Consider the following 15,584-nt stretch of genomic DNA (forward strand, 5'->3'; position numbering starts at 1 on the left):
CACCCCTCCCATTATCCATAACTACACATTGTCAACACTTACCTAGATGAATTTTAACAATGCCCTCAAATAGAATGCCAAAAAGGCTTTGAAATTACGGATGCCACAACACTATTATGATAATCACCATTATCATAATAAAGACGAGAAGTGGTGCTCCTGGGAAAAGGCTTTTTAAACTTTAGATTGCCTGAGAAGCACTATCTCAGCCCACTTGCTGCTACTGCCTGTTGCCCCAAGAGACCAGGAAGGAGATGCTGCCGTGGAACCTACCTGCTCTGTGCCTGCCGGTCGGGGAAGGGCTACTGCTGCTCTGCTGACTGCGCAACCCCAGCCTGGGATCAATGCTCCTGTAGAAGGTGTCTAAGGGCTGAGATCAGAGGCTCACAAAATCCCCATAAACCTGTGTTGCCAGCCTGTTTATTCTTCTCCATGCTGGGCGGGGAAGAGGGGCACTCATCTTTCACCAGGAACAATAACAACTGTCTATACTGGCGTCTGAAATGCAGGTCAATATAAGTTAACATATTCGGGTCTAGACAGCTGTCTCCATTTGGGGCTAGTTATTTTTCTTCACATATTAAGGATGCTTTTATTTGGAATTATGAGCAAATTTGAGCATGGCCAATTGGGGATCACAGGGGAAAAAATATCCTCTGTCATTCACTTGATTTATTTTTCTATTTATAAGATAGAGTTATTAAAATATTGAAAAGTGATTACTGGAACAATCCCTTGTACTAATTTTAATCAATTTCTTAATGTGTTCCAAAAGTCAAAGCAAAACAAAAATATTAGGGTAGAATCTAACCCAATCTGAGCCAATCGGACCAATCAGAACCTCAAAATGCTGAAATTTTCCTGAAAGTTCTTTTGCAAATGTAAGACATCCATTCAGCACTTGGGATAGAAAAACAAATTGTCTGCATCCTGCAGACTCCCTGACACCAGCCCAAGATGACATGGGCTGCCTTCATTCATTGTCTCCCTTTTCTGAGTTTTTCCTCCCATCACTACATCACCAATAATAAAAGCTGGAGCCCCTCCCACCCCTCGACAGAGTACAGCCATCCCCATCACATACTTGGACATTCTTTCTCTGATTATTCCAACAGCCCCAAATCAGAATTACCCCCAGATTTGGGTGCTATGCAGATGAACATATATCTTATTTAAACTTCCTTGGAGGATAGCCCCAACACCTGAAGTCACTCTTACCTTGACCATAATCCACAATGACTTACATTTTATAACCAGTTGAGACTCTGGCATTTTGCAGAAATGGGACTCGTTTAAATTTTACAATTTAGACCCATCAGAAACCTCAGAAGTCACTGCCTGGAACTCTTACTTGCAAGTAAAGATCATTCCAGAAAAATCAAGTAGCATGCTCTAGCTATGCCATTAATGACTCAGCACCTCATGCATTGCTATTTTCTTAATTCCTGTAGTAGACATTTTAAAACACATATTCAGCATCAAGGATCATATTAAATATTATTAAGCAGTAAATCAGAAGAGATTCTGAAACATTAATGTTCCTTTAGCTATTCAGATGAATATATTGAAGACACCTGTAAGAATGAAAGACCTCTTTTAAAAATATGTGAGCATTTAAGTCTGATTCTCTATAAAAAAGTGTGATCATTAAAGTTTATTTCTACACTATTTTTCTTTTACCTGACTCAGAAAAAAAAAAACATACAATGGGTTCAACGAAGCATAATGTTATGCTACATGAATTTTATGTTTAGGGAATTTTAGGCTAGAAGAGGAATTTAAGCAGAACAATCTGATGGTAAAACACTTCAACTCTCAAAACACAAAAGCAGGTGATGAGCCATCATGATAGAGGAAACAATTTGAAGTTCTGTCAAAGACAATGAAGTTTTGTCCTGAATTTCTGACATAGAACATTTCAAATTGTCTTGGGGGTAGAAAGTCAGAATCTTCTCTTGGAAAATCTATTATGCTCATCTTGGCATAGTGATAAGAAACTTAAAAAAAAAAAAACTTAAAAGAGAAGCCCTCGCTTGAATCATGAAGTTGATTCTTACAGACTTGGAGATATTTTCTAAATCTGATTTCTTCCTGAAATCCTTGTGGATTATTTCCAAAAGCACAAGCTAATGCTTCTGTCTTCTGTAAGTAAAAGAAGTGATTCACGATCATAGACGTCTGCATTAAAAAAAGAGAGAGAGAAATGCAAATATGCAAATTATTTATCTTTTCAAATAGTTTGTAAGGTTTTCTTGCCGTTCTTTTTTAAGCTGTGTTTTATTTTTAACTGACAATAATTGTATATACTTATAGTACAAAGTGGTATTTTGATACTTGTACACATTGTGGAATGACCAAATTAGAAAGAGTAGCATACCCATAACCTCAAATATTTATCATTTCTTCATGGTAAGAACATTTAAAATCCTGTTTTATGTATTTTGAAATATATAATACATTATTATTAACCTTAGCAAGCTTGCTGTGCAACAGAACACCAGAACTTATTCTGCTTATCTGATACCATATGATCCAGCAATCCCACTTTTCTGTATCTACCAAAGGAAATCAAATCAGTATGCTAAAGGGATGTCTGCACTCCCATGTTTATTGCAGCATTATTCATGACAGCCAAGATGTGGAAACAACCTAAATGTTCATCAAAGAAGAGTGGATTTTAAAATGTAGTACATATACACAATGGAATACTATTCAACTCAAAAAAAAAAAAAAAAACAGGAAATACTGTCATTTGTGACAAGATGGATGAGCCTGGAGGACATTTTGTTAAGTCAAATAAAACAGTTGAACTTCTAGAAGTAGAAAGTAGATGGTGGTTACCAGGGGCTGGGGAAGGTAGAGGAGGATGCAGAAAGGGAAGATACTTTTCTTGCAACTTTTTGGAGTGATTTTTTTTTTTTTTTGCTTTTGTTGAGTAGTACAAAGGTGCACTATCAGCTTTTTGTACTAAAGATATGTCTGGGACATTCTTTTTATTATGATTGTCAAATCTCTATCCAAAAAATAGAGTAAAATGTTTTCTAAAGGGTAAAAACTAAAACATAAAAATAGCAATACATGTAAATGAAAAAAATAAAGTTGACCAATATGGGAGTTAGGGGCACTGACCTTCTGCAGTCAAATCCATTTATAATTTTTGACTCCCCAAAAACTTAACTACTAATACCCTGCTGTTGACAGGAAGCCTTACCAATAACATAAACAGCAGACTAACACATGTTTTATATGTTCTACATACTGTATTCATAAAATAAAGTAAGCCAGAACAAAGAAAATGTTATTGAGAAAGTCATAAGGGGGCTGGGCGCAGTGGCTCATGCCTGTAATCCCAGCACTTGGGAGGCCGAGGCAGGCGGATCACGAGGTCAGGAGATGGAGACCATCCTGGCTAACATGGTGAAACCCCATCTCTACTAAAAATACAAAAAAATTAGCTGGGTGTGGTGGCCGGTGCCTGTAGTCCCAGCTACTCAGGAGGCTGAGGCAGGAGAACGGCCTGAACCCATGAGGCAGAGCTTGCAGTGAGCCGAGATCGCACCACTGCACTCCAGCCTGGGTGACAGAGCGAGACTCCATCTCAAAAAAAGAAAGTCATAAGGAAGAGAAAATATATTTACTATTCATTGAGTGGAGTGGATCCACATAAAGGTCTTCATCCTCATCGTCTTCACATTGAGGCTGAGGAGGAGGAGGAAGAAGAGGGGTTGGTCTTGCTGTCTTGGTGATAGTGACAGGAGGCAGCCAAATGCCTAGGCAGATAGGGGCAGGTCCCCAGTGAAACCCCACCTCCAAGCTCAACACAGTTTAAAGTCTGAAAGCCAAGCTACAAGTTAAATCCCTGGAGTGGATTGAGAACTCATCTTCCTGTTTGGCACTCTTTCCTCTGATTGATCCCCACCCTTCACCTATTTTACATATACCTACCCTTCCTTAATTGGTTTTCTATGCTGTCATGCCCATTTTTGAGTGGTGTCTTCATTTTAACCTTTTTTGCATACTCACAAACCAGTCAGTGTGCACTCCCCATCCTGTGCCTGTAAAGAACCCAGACTCATCTGACTTTGGGGAAGATGACCTTCCCTTCCCGTCCCCTCTTTAGCTCCCCTCCCATTTTCATAGCTCAATAAAATTCTCTGCCTTCACCATCCTTCAATTGTCTGTGCAACTTCATTCTTCTTGGACACCAGACAAGAGCTTGGGACCTATTGACTGCAGGTACCCAGAAAGGCTGTCATACTGACCCTTTGCCCTCACCAGCAGAGGGCACCATCACCAGGGACCAACTGAGCTGCTAACATTGCTGTCCACGGATGACAGAACTAAGAGAGCACTGTAACACCCTGTCTGGGGCTTAGGGTTCATGGGCACCCTCACCTGGGTGCTGCCACATTCACCTCAAGGTGATATACCTGGTCTAGCCACGGGCCCTGCACAGAGCTTGCTCCTGTGTCGGTGCCCAGAGTGGCTGGCTGGATCCTGCACTTGCTCACTCACGTGCTCTCTCCTGCAAGGGGTTGAGCATGGTGAGCTGAGTAGATGGGGTGCTCCTTCCGCAAGTCTAGCCAAGAGGCCGAGAAAAATCCTGCATCATCAGGAGTGGCAGAGTCATGAGAAAAATCCCTGTTTAAGTAGACCTGCACAGATCATACCCATGTTGTTCAAGGGTCAACTGTGTTATAATAGTCTCCAATGGGTATTTGCCTCCTGCTAAGGATGAAAGTCACAGAGATGCTGAGTCATTAACATTAAGCGTTTCCAAACATCACTGTAGAAGGATTTGAAATGCGTACTAAAATACCATGGTCAAGAATATAAGTTAATTGTATAGTCAAGTCCATTTGGGAAACATGATATAGTTTATATATTTTCACTTGAACCTACTTCTTTTCTACATAAAATCTTGAATTAGAAAATTCACCAGATATTACTAGGAAAAAAAGTACCAGAATTTCTCAACTGATTATTCCAGTCAATGTTCTGCTACATTTATTCATAACCTATCCAGTAATTAAAGAAAAACTAATCCTAATTTCCTTGTACCTAGTACAGGCACAGCAGCCCTTTCTCCTTATGCTAAATTATTTAACTGACCCAATAAACTCATTAGTTAGATGTGCTTATTGTTATTTTACAGATAAGAAAAAAAAACACTAGGGGGTTAAATAAAATACGTGTCAAACAATAATTTTACTTGCCACATTGTTGGCAGTCATCTCTCAAAACATTATACAAAAACTAAAGTTTTGGATACAAGCATATCATAAAGTACTGATCACTTTCCCATAATTCTATGATATTTTCAAACACAGTCATAAGTCAGCCTCCCTGGGAGCAGAGCCTGAGATAAGGATGTTGCTGCAGGTGATTGACAGTGCATGCGTTTTGGAACAAGAGGGATGAGGAGAGCAGCCTAAGACAAGGATGTAGTCTCAGCTGGAGAATGGGTCAGCTAGATCCCATGGGTGCTCTGGAAGACCCACTGGAGCCTTGTCTGAAGGTCACTGGCAATTTAGTAGAGAGAGAGGTACAGTTGTGAGAAATTAACATATGTTACAGCAGCTGGAGGAGCAGACCAATAACTAAAGTTCAATGGTCTGGTGTCATGGACAGCACTATTTAGTGGTCCAGTATCACCAGATGTTTAGATCAGTTCACAGCACAAAATAAATTTTAATCACTCTTACATTTCTGCCAATTTAACCCACAAATTCATCTCAAGTAATGATTAAAAGTATTTTGGATATGTTAATCAGCTTGATTGAATCTTTCTACAATATATACATAGATCAAAACATCACATTGTACCCCATAGCTATGCAAAATTATTTGTCACTTGAAAATATTTTTTTGAAAGCTAAACATTAAATTAAATTTTAAAGCATAACCATAAACATGGTTACAAATTGAAATAGAAAATTTATAACAGTTATTAAAAGTAAAAATATGTGAAGCAAAAGTAAAAGAATAATAAACTTTTCTAAAATTTTTTTTTAAGTGTTACTACTTGGTCTTGCATTGTTTATTACTTATTAGTTTGAGAGGAAAAATAGTATTTTATCTTGGAAAGCTTGAAAAAATGAAATACTGTACCCAAATGAAGAGTTTACTTGTGTTCTGAAATAAAAGTAAAAGATGCATTATCTATTGGGATATTTATGCAAATATTTAATTTCCAAAACTTTGAAATATGTAAGACTGCCAGAAGAAAGGATGAAGAAAAAAGTGGAGTAAGCATTTCGCAAATAATTTTTATAAAAGAAAAAAAGCTCATGCTGAAAGTAATGAAAAAGAAGCCTGTGGCCTTTTTTTTTTTTTTTTTTTTGAGATAGAGATTGTGTCATAATAAGTGAAATGAAAGCGTCGCAGTAATACGGTACAGGAAAGGGGGACAAGAGCAAATGCATTGCAGATATTTCACTTCTCCCTCATGGCCAAATTGCCCGATAAACAGGTATTTCGCTCAGTTTTGCACACAAATTTTAGTAATTGCAGAATTTTGGACATAGAAAATGAGCACCGCCTTTCATGTTTCACCATCTTTTCATGCCCACTATTTGCCATCAGAATGTTTTCCAAATACAAAGTTAATAAGCAAAAGTATTTTTATAGAATTTATTGTATGAAAGGATAATGATAAATGTGTTTCTGAAAAATTTTTCCTGTGGGTCTCAATGCCATCTATATTGCCCAAATAAAGTGGATTTAAAAAGCAGATGCAGACAGAAAATGAAAGTTTGTTTATATTAGCTGGGTGATGTGGATGCACTGTCATTTATTCAATCAAGAAACGGGTCTTGGAAGCCAACCTGAGCTGAGAAATGTCAGGTATTGGAGATTCAGCAATTAGTTAGTCAGAAACTGAGACCCTGTTCTTGAGGGACCCCAGGCTAGCGTTTGAGGAGAAACATCAAATAAGTAAACAAATATAAGTAAACAAATATATATATACACACATACACAATTGCAATAAAGACAACCACAAAGAAGAAAAAGTACAGGGCTCTAAGAACATCTTATAGGCTGGGCGTGGTGACTCACACCTGTAATCCCAGCACATTGGGAGGCCCAAGTGGGTGGATCACTTGACCCCAGGAGTTCAAGACCAGCCTAGGCAACATGGCAAAACCCCATCTCTACAAAAAATACAAAAATCAGCCCAGCGTAGAGGTGCATGCCTGTAGTCCTAGCTACTTGGGAGTCTGAGGTGGGAGAATCGATTGAGCCCGAGAGGCAGAGGAGGTTATGGTGATCACACCACTGCACTCCAGCTTGGGTGACAAAGCAGGACCCTATCTCAAAATACTACTACTACTAATGTATAATAGGGCATTTAATTGGGAAATTATGTCCAGCCGAACATTCAAGGAAGGTTTTCTTGAGAGGATAATAAACCCCTGAAGCAATGTCTGGATGTAAGAGACAAAGGCTGCAAAGTCCTGAAAACTTTGCAGAAAGAAAAACAAACTCATTTAACATAAAAAAGTATGGAGGACCTCACTCCCATCCTCTACTCTTTTCTCCATTCAGCCCAACCCTACCCACTATAAATAACTACTTTTATTAGTTTCTTTATGCTAATATAAACCATTAAACACTACTTTCTCTCCAAACTGATTAATAACAATCTTACACTTTTTTGTTTTGTTTTGTTTTGGTGCAGATGTATAATGTTTTATCGTGTAGTTCACCATAGTTTATTTAGCAATCTCTGTTAAGGGATACTTGAATTGTTTCCAATCATTTACGAATTTCAAAAATCACCTACATCTAGCTATATGACATATCAAGCATTGATGACAGCTGGTAAGAAAAATGATGCCATCTCTTTTCCTTTGTCTCTAGTTGAATATAAGAGATCCATTTCTCTACCTAGAGTAACTTTCTGTTTTGCATGTATGTGTGAGCATTTGTTCAATTCATGAGTATCATTGCTGAACTCACTACAGATTGTCTGCGTGTGTCAAGTCTCCTCCCACTAGAGAAATGGTCACAAAATGAAAATACAAATAAAGCTATGCTAATGTCTCAAAAGTTTGATGCTGAGTTTGTTATTAATAAATACCTTTGATGATTTTTAAGCCCTTGCCAGCTGTTTAGAAATCACTGAGGATGTGCAATGTGAAAGGCTGTTTTGGTTCCCAAGCAAACTGAATTTTGTTGATAGTATATACATTTCTCTCACTGTTATTTTTAGATGTGAATCTACTGAAGCAAATTAACACATTTAAATTCATCTCAATCCAATTTGGAAACAGGAAACATCTATGGTCCACATTTTCTGTTGAAGTCATAAACTACTAATTTGAACCCCACTGCCTTGGATTTTGTGAAATTTGCTATCAGATAAAGAATCCCTGGATATATTTAATTCCAGGACTATCCCACCTGAATGCACCAGTCTGTGTATATCTGCTTGTAGAAAATGTCATTCTGAACTAGGCAGTTCCATTCTGATCACTGCATACCTTTATGCCACTATTCAATATTTGAAATCACCCTTGCCTACTAGCACCCATTTTTGTGAACTAACTAAACTTTCTGAACTAAGCCAGGTGTGTCCTCTGAGTCCAGAATAAATAATCGTTTGGCCGAACAAGTACCTTGAGATGGAAAAGTCTTGGAATTGGCTAACTCCTCTGAGGTGCCCACTATTTACCATCAGGATGGTTATTTTAAACAAATCAAGGAAGTTTATCATACAAATAGTTTGACTTGGTGACTGCCATAAAATTGGCTTATGAAATAAAAATTTATTCATACCCATGACTAAGTACACACTGTGACATGATGGGATTTGGAAAGCCGCAGTTATTTAGAAAGAAGGCTGTTCGGCATGAGCTTTGTCCAAAGCAAATGGGCCAGGTCAGTGGGAACCAGCAGTTTGTAAGTACTGTTTCTCCCTGCACCATCCCTGTGGAAGCACCAAGGCTCCCAAAACACAAGCAAACTTCAGTTGAAATGTGTACCCATCATTAATCTGCTTTTCAAAATAAATAATATCAGATTAAAATGATTCATAATCTAGCTCTTTTGTAAATTACCAACCAGCTCTAGAAATATTTCAAAAGAAGAGGAAATGTTGACTTGAGGCTAAATCTTGCGTTCTCCATTATCGCTATGATTTTGGAAAAGTTTCAAAGTTAAAGGAAAGCAGAAATAACAATATGTAATATATGATTACAGATATATATTGCATCTCTCCATTGTTACAAATGATCTACTATGAGTCACTGTGTTTTCAGTACCCAAAGGCCATAGCATAAAGAACACAACAGATGGAACCAGACTTGCCTGCAGGTCTTGGCTCTTCCATTCACTAGATGATTGACTTTAGGCAGGACATTTGGTTCCCTGGAAACTTGAGTTCCTTATCTGCACAACGAAGACATGTGGGGTTCAAAATAAATATATCACACCTTGAAAAAAGCACAGACTCAACACAAGTATTATCTCTGACTCAATTCCCTTGGCTCCTACTAAATATCATAATGAATTATTCCTTTCCGTGGGTTGGCCTTTTATTTGTTATTTGTAATCCAGGCCCTTTTCTTTTAGTTCTGAAATGGATTTGAGACAATATCTAAGACACTTGAAGGGATGAAAAATCTAGAAAATTCAGGATAAAATCTTGACATTACTATGGTGATGAAATAATTACAAAAGAAATGCAAAGGGAAGGTAAGTTATTGAAGGGCAGCTGAAAACTTGAGTTCCTAGGAGCCCTAGCAAGGAGAGAAACACAATGAGTTGAAGGTGCTTGTTTTCTAATGAGATGATGACTGCTCTGTCCTTAGAGGAGACTGCTGTGTTCCTGAGTCTGCAAGGTGTTTATGGCACATACTTTTATATTAAACTGTACAAAGACAATATTGTCTCCCAGCACTTTGGGAGGCCAAGGCAGGTGGATCACCTGAGGTCAGGAGTTTGAGACCAGCCTGGCCAACGTGGTGAAACCCTGTCTTTACCAAAAATGCAAAAATTAGCCAGGTGTGGTGGTGCATGCCTGTAATCCCAGCTACTCGGGAGGCTGAGGCAAGAGAATCTCTTGAACTGGAAGGCGGAGGTTGCAGTGAGCCGAGACTGTGCTACTGCACTCTAGCCTGGGCAACAGAGCAAGGCTGTGTCTCAAAAAAATAATAAAATAAAATAAAGACAATATTGTAATTATGGTTTTCCAAAAAGCAGGATCATATTGACTTCTATTGTCTGATAACAGATCTTTTAATGCCACATGACTTCAACTGCATAGCTCAGGTTCTGGAATGCTGATGTATAGTTTGCTCAGGCTTGAGTAGCTCTTGTATTCACAGAAGCTAGCTTCATTGGAGCTTGGTCCAGCCTGGGCAGTCATGACCAGGAAATACAGAGTAGATAGCTCCCCTAAAGCAACCCTCAGAGGCAAACACTCCCCAATAGATCAATGCCTCCACTTCTGCATTATTTGGTTGGACAATTCTGAGGATTCTCAGAGTCTTCAGTTGGAAGAAGCTCTATATACTCACGGTGAGAATCTATTCTAGATTTTCTTCATTTCTTTTTAGAAACTTTATATTTCCTCAGTGGTTCTTTCTAGGATGCCTTCCCAAATAAACAGCCTGCCTTTAAATCCTTCACTCACGATTTCCTTTGAAGGAATCCAAACGAAGATATCTCACTAAAAGTCATGGCGCATTGTTAAGTTATAGCTTTGCAAAGACCTTTCTGAGTGGGAAAAGATGTGACCAATATAGTATGTTCCACTGTAGCCGTGTATGATGCACTGTACTGCAGAAATACAGTTTCACTAATTTCAGATAATGAATTCATAGCATGCACTGTGTTCTGGCATAATTCCGTTAACTCAACAAGGCTTATGTCAAATGTTCTAGAGGAGTGAGTAGAAAGAGACATGAATGCAGCTTAAGTGGGGCTGATAGTATAACTGCCTATGCCTGCTTTATGAAATTCGTGAATTTACACCATTAATTTGTTGTGAGATTCATGACTTAAAGGCCTTGATTTAAATCAAAGTTCCTTGAAGACCGATGGAGAAAATGTAATGATTTTACAGACAAGAATTGCTATAAAGTCTGCTCATAACGTAGTGGTGTTTTCATCCTTAGATTCCTTACAACATCTCACTTTGAGCACAGCCCACAGTCCCTTCATGGTGAATCTTTCTTTTCATCATAAATTGAATGTATAGATTTCTGAGCTTCATTGAGCCATAGCTATTGAATTCAACTATTAAACTAATCAGTGGTATCTTATATTTTATAGTTTTCATCTGTCCTCAAACTCTCATGTTTTAAATGACTGCTTTTTGAAACTTGGGCACTCAGTAGACTCAAAGAGGAAACATTTACTAACTCATCAAAACCTGTGGGGTTCTGTCTCAAGATGTGTGTGACATGACTGAGACTTTACTGCATTCCACCTATAATTTTGAAACAAAACCTGGTTTGGAAAAGACAGATTTTAATACTTGAATTTTCAATGCTGCAATCAAGAATCATGTATTTTGATTACATGTATACATTCACACATAACATATGTAAAGTAATAATATATGTATGATATAAATATACATATGTGTGTATATATATAATATATTAGTCACTGAACAACATTTTCCTCCAATGAACAACAGAACACTTGAATAATTTGGCCTGATCACTGGATTTAGAAGGAGGGGAGACCTTTCTTTAATTTTCCTCTGGATCACATACACAATCACAGCAAAAGGAAATGCCTGGCTGTGCATTACACATACTTGGTGCATTCAACCCCAGGGGCTTTTTAGTGAATCTCTCCACAACGGATCAGGTTCTTGCAGAGGTACAAAAAAGACATAGCACAAGGAGGGAGGCTGAGTGAGCACATTCCCAACAGCATGCCTAGATAGACCACCTGATCTCACAGAGAAGGGGTGTTAGAAGGAAACTCTACTGGAGGTCAGGAAGGTCATTGCAGGCCAGAGTGGTTGAGAATGCTTCACCAAGACAGAACTATCCCTGAAAGGGAGGTTATGTTTGAATCTGGGTGAGTGGTCTAACGTTGGGAGGATTCTTTATAAAGCAGGAGCACAACTGGAATAAAAATATGGAGCACATGAGAGAGCACATTGTGAGGAATCGTTGGAGGATTGTGGAAGTCAGGGAGCGGAAACCAGTTTGCTTGAATAGAGACTTCTTAGATTGGCAAAGACGCATGAGGACTTAAGGGTCTGGAGGGCTGTGGATTCCAGTTTAGAAAAAGTTTACAGCAGTGGATTCTTGACACAGGGAATTGCCATTCATTGACCACATCTCCTTGGCTCCTAGACCTCAGACTGGCAAAAAGCAGGCCCTTAATACAAGTTTTGTGACTGAATGCATGAAATCTAATTTAATAATTTATGGGACGCTGTTGCACTTAGTGGCAACAAATGATGCAAAATAGCAACAATTAAACTAATAATTAAAAACACATTAGCTAAGACTGAATGCAGAAAAACTGTGAGCGGACAAAGGCAAAGGACAGAGAAAAAATTGTTAGGAGACAAGAGGGATGGATAAGGACTGAGCATTGGATCAGGAATACAAATAAAAATGACAGAGTGAATGACAGTGAGAGAGAGAGAGAGAGAGAGGAAGAAGAGGAAGAAGTAGTAGCTGTATAAAATCATAGAAGCTTCCCTAGGAGGTAAACTCTGGAATGGTGCTATTTCCCACAGTAAGACTTTCTGAAAAAACTCAAGGGATGTGTCATTCCCAGGAGACATTTTAGAGCTAGAGTTCATCTTGAAAATCATCAAGCTCATTTTGCATACTGTATTCAGGAAATCAACTTAGAGATAAAATAGGATGGGAGCCTTTTTTTTCTCAAGTTTGCCACTGGATGAATTTTATTTTCTGCAATCCATATGATTTACATGTCTTCCCAAAGATCAGAAAAATTATTGTATTATTTTGTAATGGGGCAATATTTGGGGGAACTATGTAAGTGCGTTTATTCTGAAGAATTTTTATTTTGATAGTATCATTTATATAACAAAAATATGTTAAGGGTATCTGGAAGTCTGTTTTATTTTTAAACAAGAGCAAAGCTTACAAATTAGCATTTTGGAAAGACTCTAAAATTAATAGTACCCAGTATTCATTAAGCATTTATTATGTACCAGACTAGATGATATGCAAGGGTGATTTCATCTAATCCTATCAACACTATCAGGGAAATATCAAGCTTTATTTTTCCAACTTTACAGAGAAGGAAACTGCGGCTTCCATGGTTTAAATCATCTACTCCAGAATAGCCAGCCAAAAAGGTTGAAGTTTGAAATCAGGGAATCTTTCTCCAGTACCCAAACTGTTACATACCAAATACTAAAGGGCCTTCTAGATTCAATAAGTGAACAGAATTGCAAACATTTGTGTGACAGTTCATAATTAATCATTGCTGACCATACATCTGTTTCTGTTTACAAGGCTTGGGGATTTCCCATCTAAATTGATTTCAGAACATCTTATCATATGCAGCTTAGTTACAGTATTTGATTATTGATTCTCTCATAATATGTTCCCTGTAAACCAAGTAACGTATTTTCATAGAGATGGTCTAACTGTCCTTATCCATAACACAGATTTTTTTTTAGGTTGGCATTTAGTTGGCTCCTTCATTGGAATCTGGTTAATTTTTTTTCCTACATAAACTTTCGATGGAAGTGGGAACTTGGTGAAATCTTCCCTCGGTTTCCTGCCACATGACTCTTTTTGGTTTTTCAAAGGGAAAAGCAAACTCATCTTCCTCTCTGAAATGTATTTTTTTGACTGGTTCTCAGATTTCCTCTTGCCCTTTTCTTTTGCCACTCTGGGTAGCCAGGGATGTGTTTGGTCTGAGGCATCTTAAGAAGAAAGCTTTTGCCTTGGAAACAGGGCAGTTTTCTACTTCCATAAAAACACAAGTAAGAATACAGAATCCTTTGTATTGAAGCACTATAATATAGAGACATCATTTCTAAAAAGAAAAATACTTCTCAGTGGGTGTTTTGTTTTGTTTGTCTCTTTCCTTTTGTTTGTGTTTTCTTGTCTGCCTTTGTTAATTGCTTAGGTATTTTTAGGTGTTTTTAAAAACAAGCAAAAAAATTGTTGTGTTTAAATCATTGTCCAAATTTTGAGTTAAACATTTACTCATTCACAGGACTCTCCTAGGTGATTCTAAAGATGTCCTTTAAAATGTAGGATAACTATATTTTTAGTACTAAGATTGTGGTTCTGATGCCTGAATGCATTGGTTCATATCCTGGCTTTGTCCCTTGAGAACTGCATGACTTTGAGCAAATTAATGGAGTGTTCTGTGCCTAAGACTGTCCATCTGGAAAAGGGAAATAATGTTAGCACTTGCCCCATGGTGTTATAAGGATATATGACTTAAGTTCCTAGCATGTAATAAGTACTCAATAAATACTAGCTGCTTCTATTAAAATTCAGGGAGAATTCCTTAGAGAACTTCAAATATTAGAGCAATTATATGGCTTCTGTCTAGAAGATGGAAGAGAACTCACTTACATAAGAGAACCAGTTAGGCTACCCATTCAGTCAACATTGTGGTTCAAGTGGGATTACCAGTTAGGGACCTAGGACGTCAAGCGTTTTGCTATTTTGGCCATCTCAGCTCTTTAGCTATAGATGATAAAATATTCTTCTTAGTACAGAAGATTAGTGATAATTTGCCCAGTCGAACTCATGGAAAAGCCACTTCCATTAAGGAAGAGTGTACCAAGAGGAAACACTTCATGATTTAGGTGAGATTTGAGAAAGTAGTCATGTACAGATAGTGCATATAGTGCAAAAATCAGACAGCTAGTTCTTTCCTGGGTGGCCCAGAAAGTCTTCAGGATAGAAATGGGTAGCAAGCTACTCTTAATAACAACAAAGACTGGGAGGGATATGATGGATTATAATATTCTTGCTATCTTTAGAAACTGAAAAAATAATAAATGGGAGAGTCATCTGGTCAACCTTATCTTGCTAAAGGCATCACTGGAATCTGGCATCATTGAAGTTGCTGAGTCAACGGGTGAGCCTGGAACAATCTCATGTAGTACTGACTACAAAGTCCAAGGATACCTACAAGGCAATGTGCCTACTTTATGATGGGGCAACATTCCTCTCCTGTGGCATGGCTGTCCTACCTTAAACCAGTTCAGTAGGTCTGAGGAAATCTTAACAGGATGGCAGAACGCTGTGTCAGCATGGGCTTTACCAAAGTATGTATAGTGTTTACTACACCCTGCTTTCCAGGTCCTATCAGTATGATATCATTAATAGTGGATCATGGGTTGATCCTTGCTCAAGGATGGAAGATAGAGATAGAAGTAACGAAGGACCTTGTAGACCAAAGTATGGCACAAGATCATAGATGGTGAAAGTGTATTGCTGTTATACCTGAAGAGAAGGCTAAACCTGGTGATGGCATACATCTCTTAAAAGGACACCAGAGATATAGTGGGTAGTGTGAATTTACCATTTGGGTGGTAAGAGAGAGTGACAGGGGCTCATTGGACTTTTAGCATCAGGAAGCCCATGTGGGGCTTGCACCCCCAG

The 15,584-nt window shown here is 38.2% G+C and overlaps 1 long non-coding RNA gene across 3 annotated transcripts in view; it reads left to right on the forward strand.

Moving 5' to 3' along the window:
* The window catches only part of LOC107985675 (uncharacterized), a 528,885-nt gene that overhangs the window by 391,773 nt on the left and 121,528 nt on the right, over window positions 1-15,584 (forward strand). The window lies entirely within an intron of this gene.

This window comes from Homo sapiens, chromosome X (genome assembly GCF_000001405.40).
Source record: "Homo sapiens chromosome X, GRCh38.p14 Primary Assembly".
Lineage (NCBI taxonomy): Eukaryota > Metazoa > Chordata > Mammalia > Primates > Hominidae > Homo > Homo sapiens.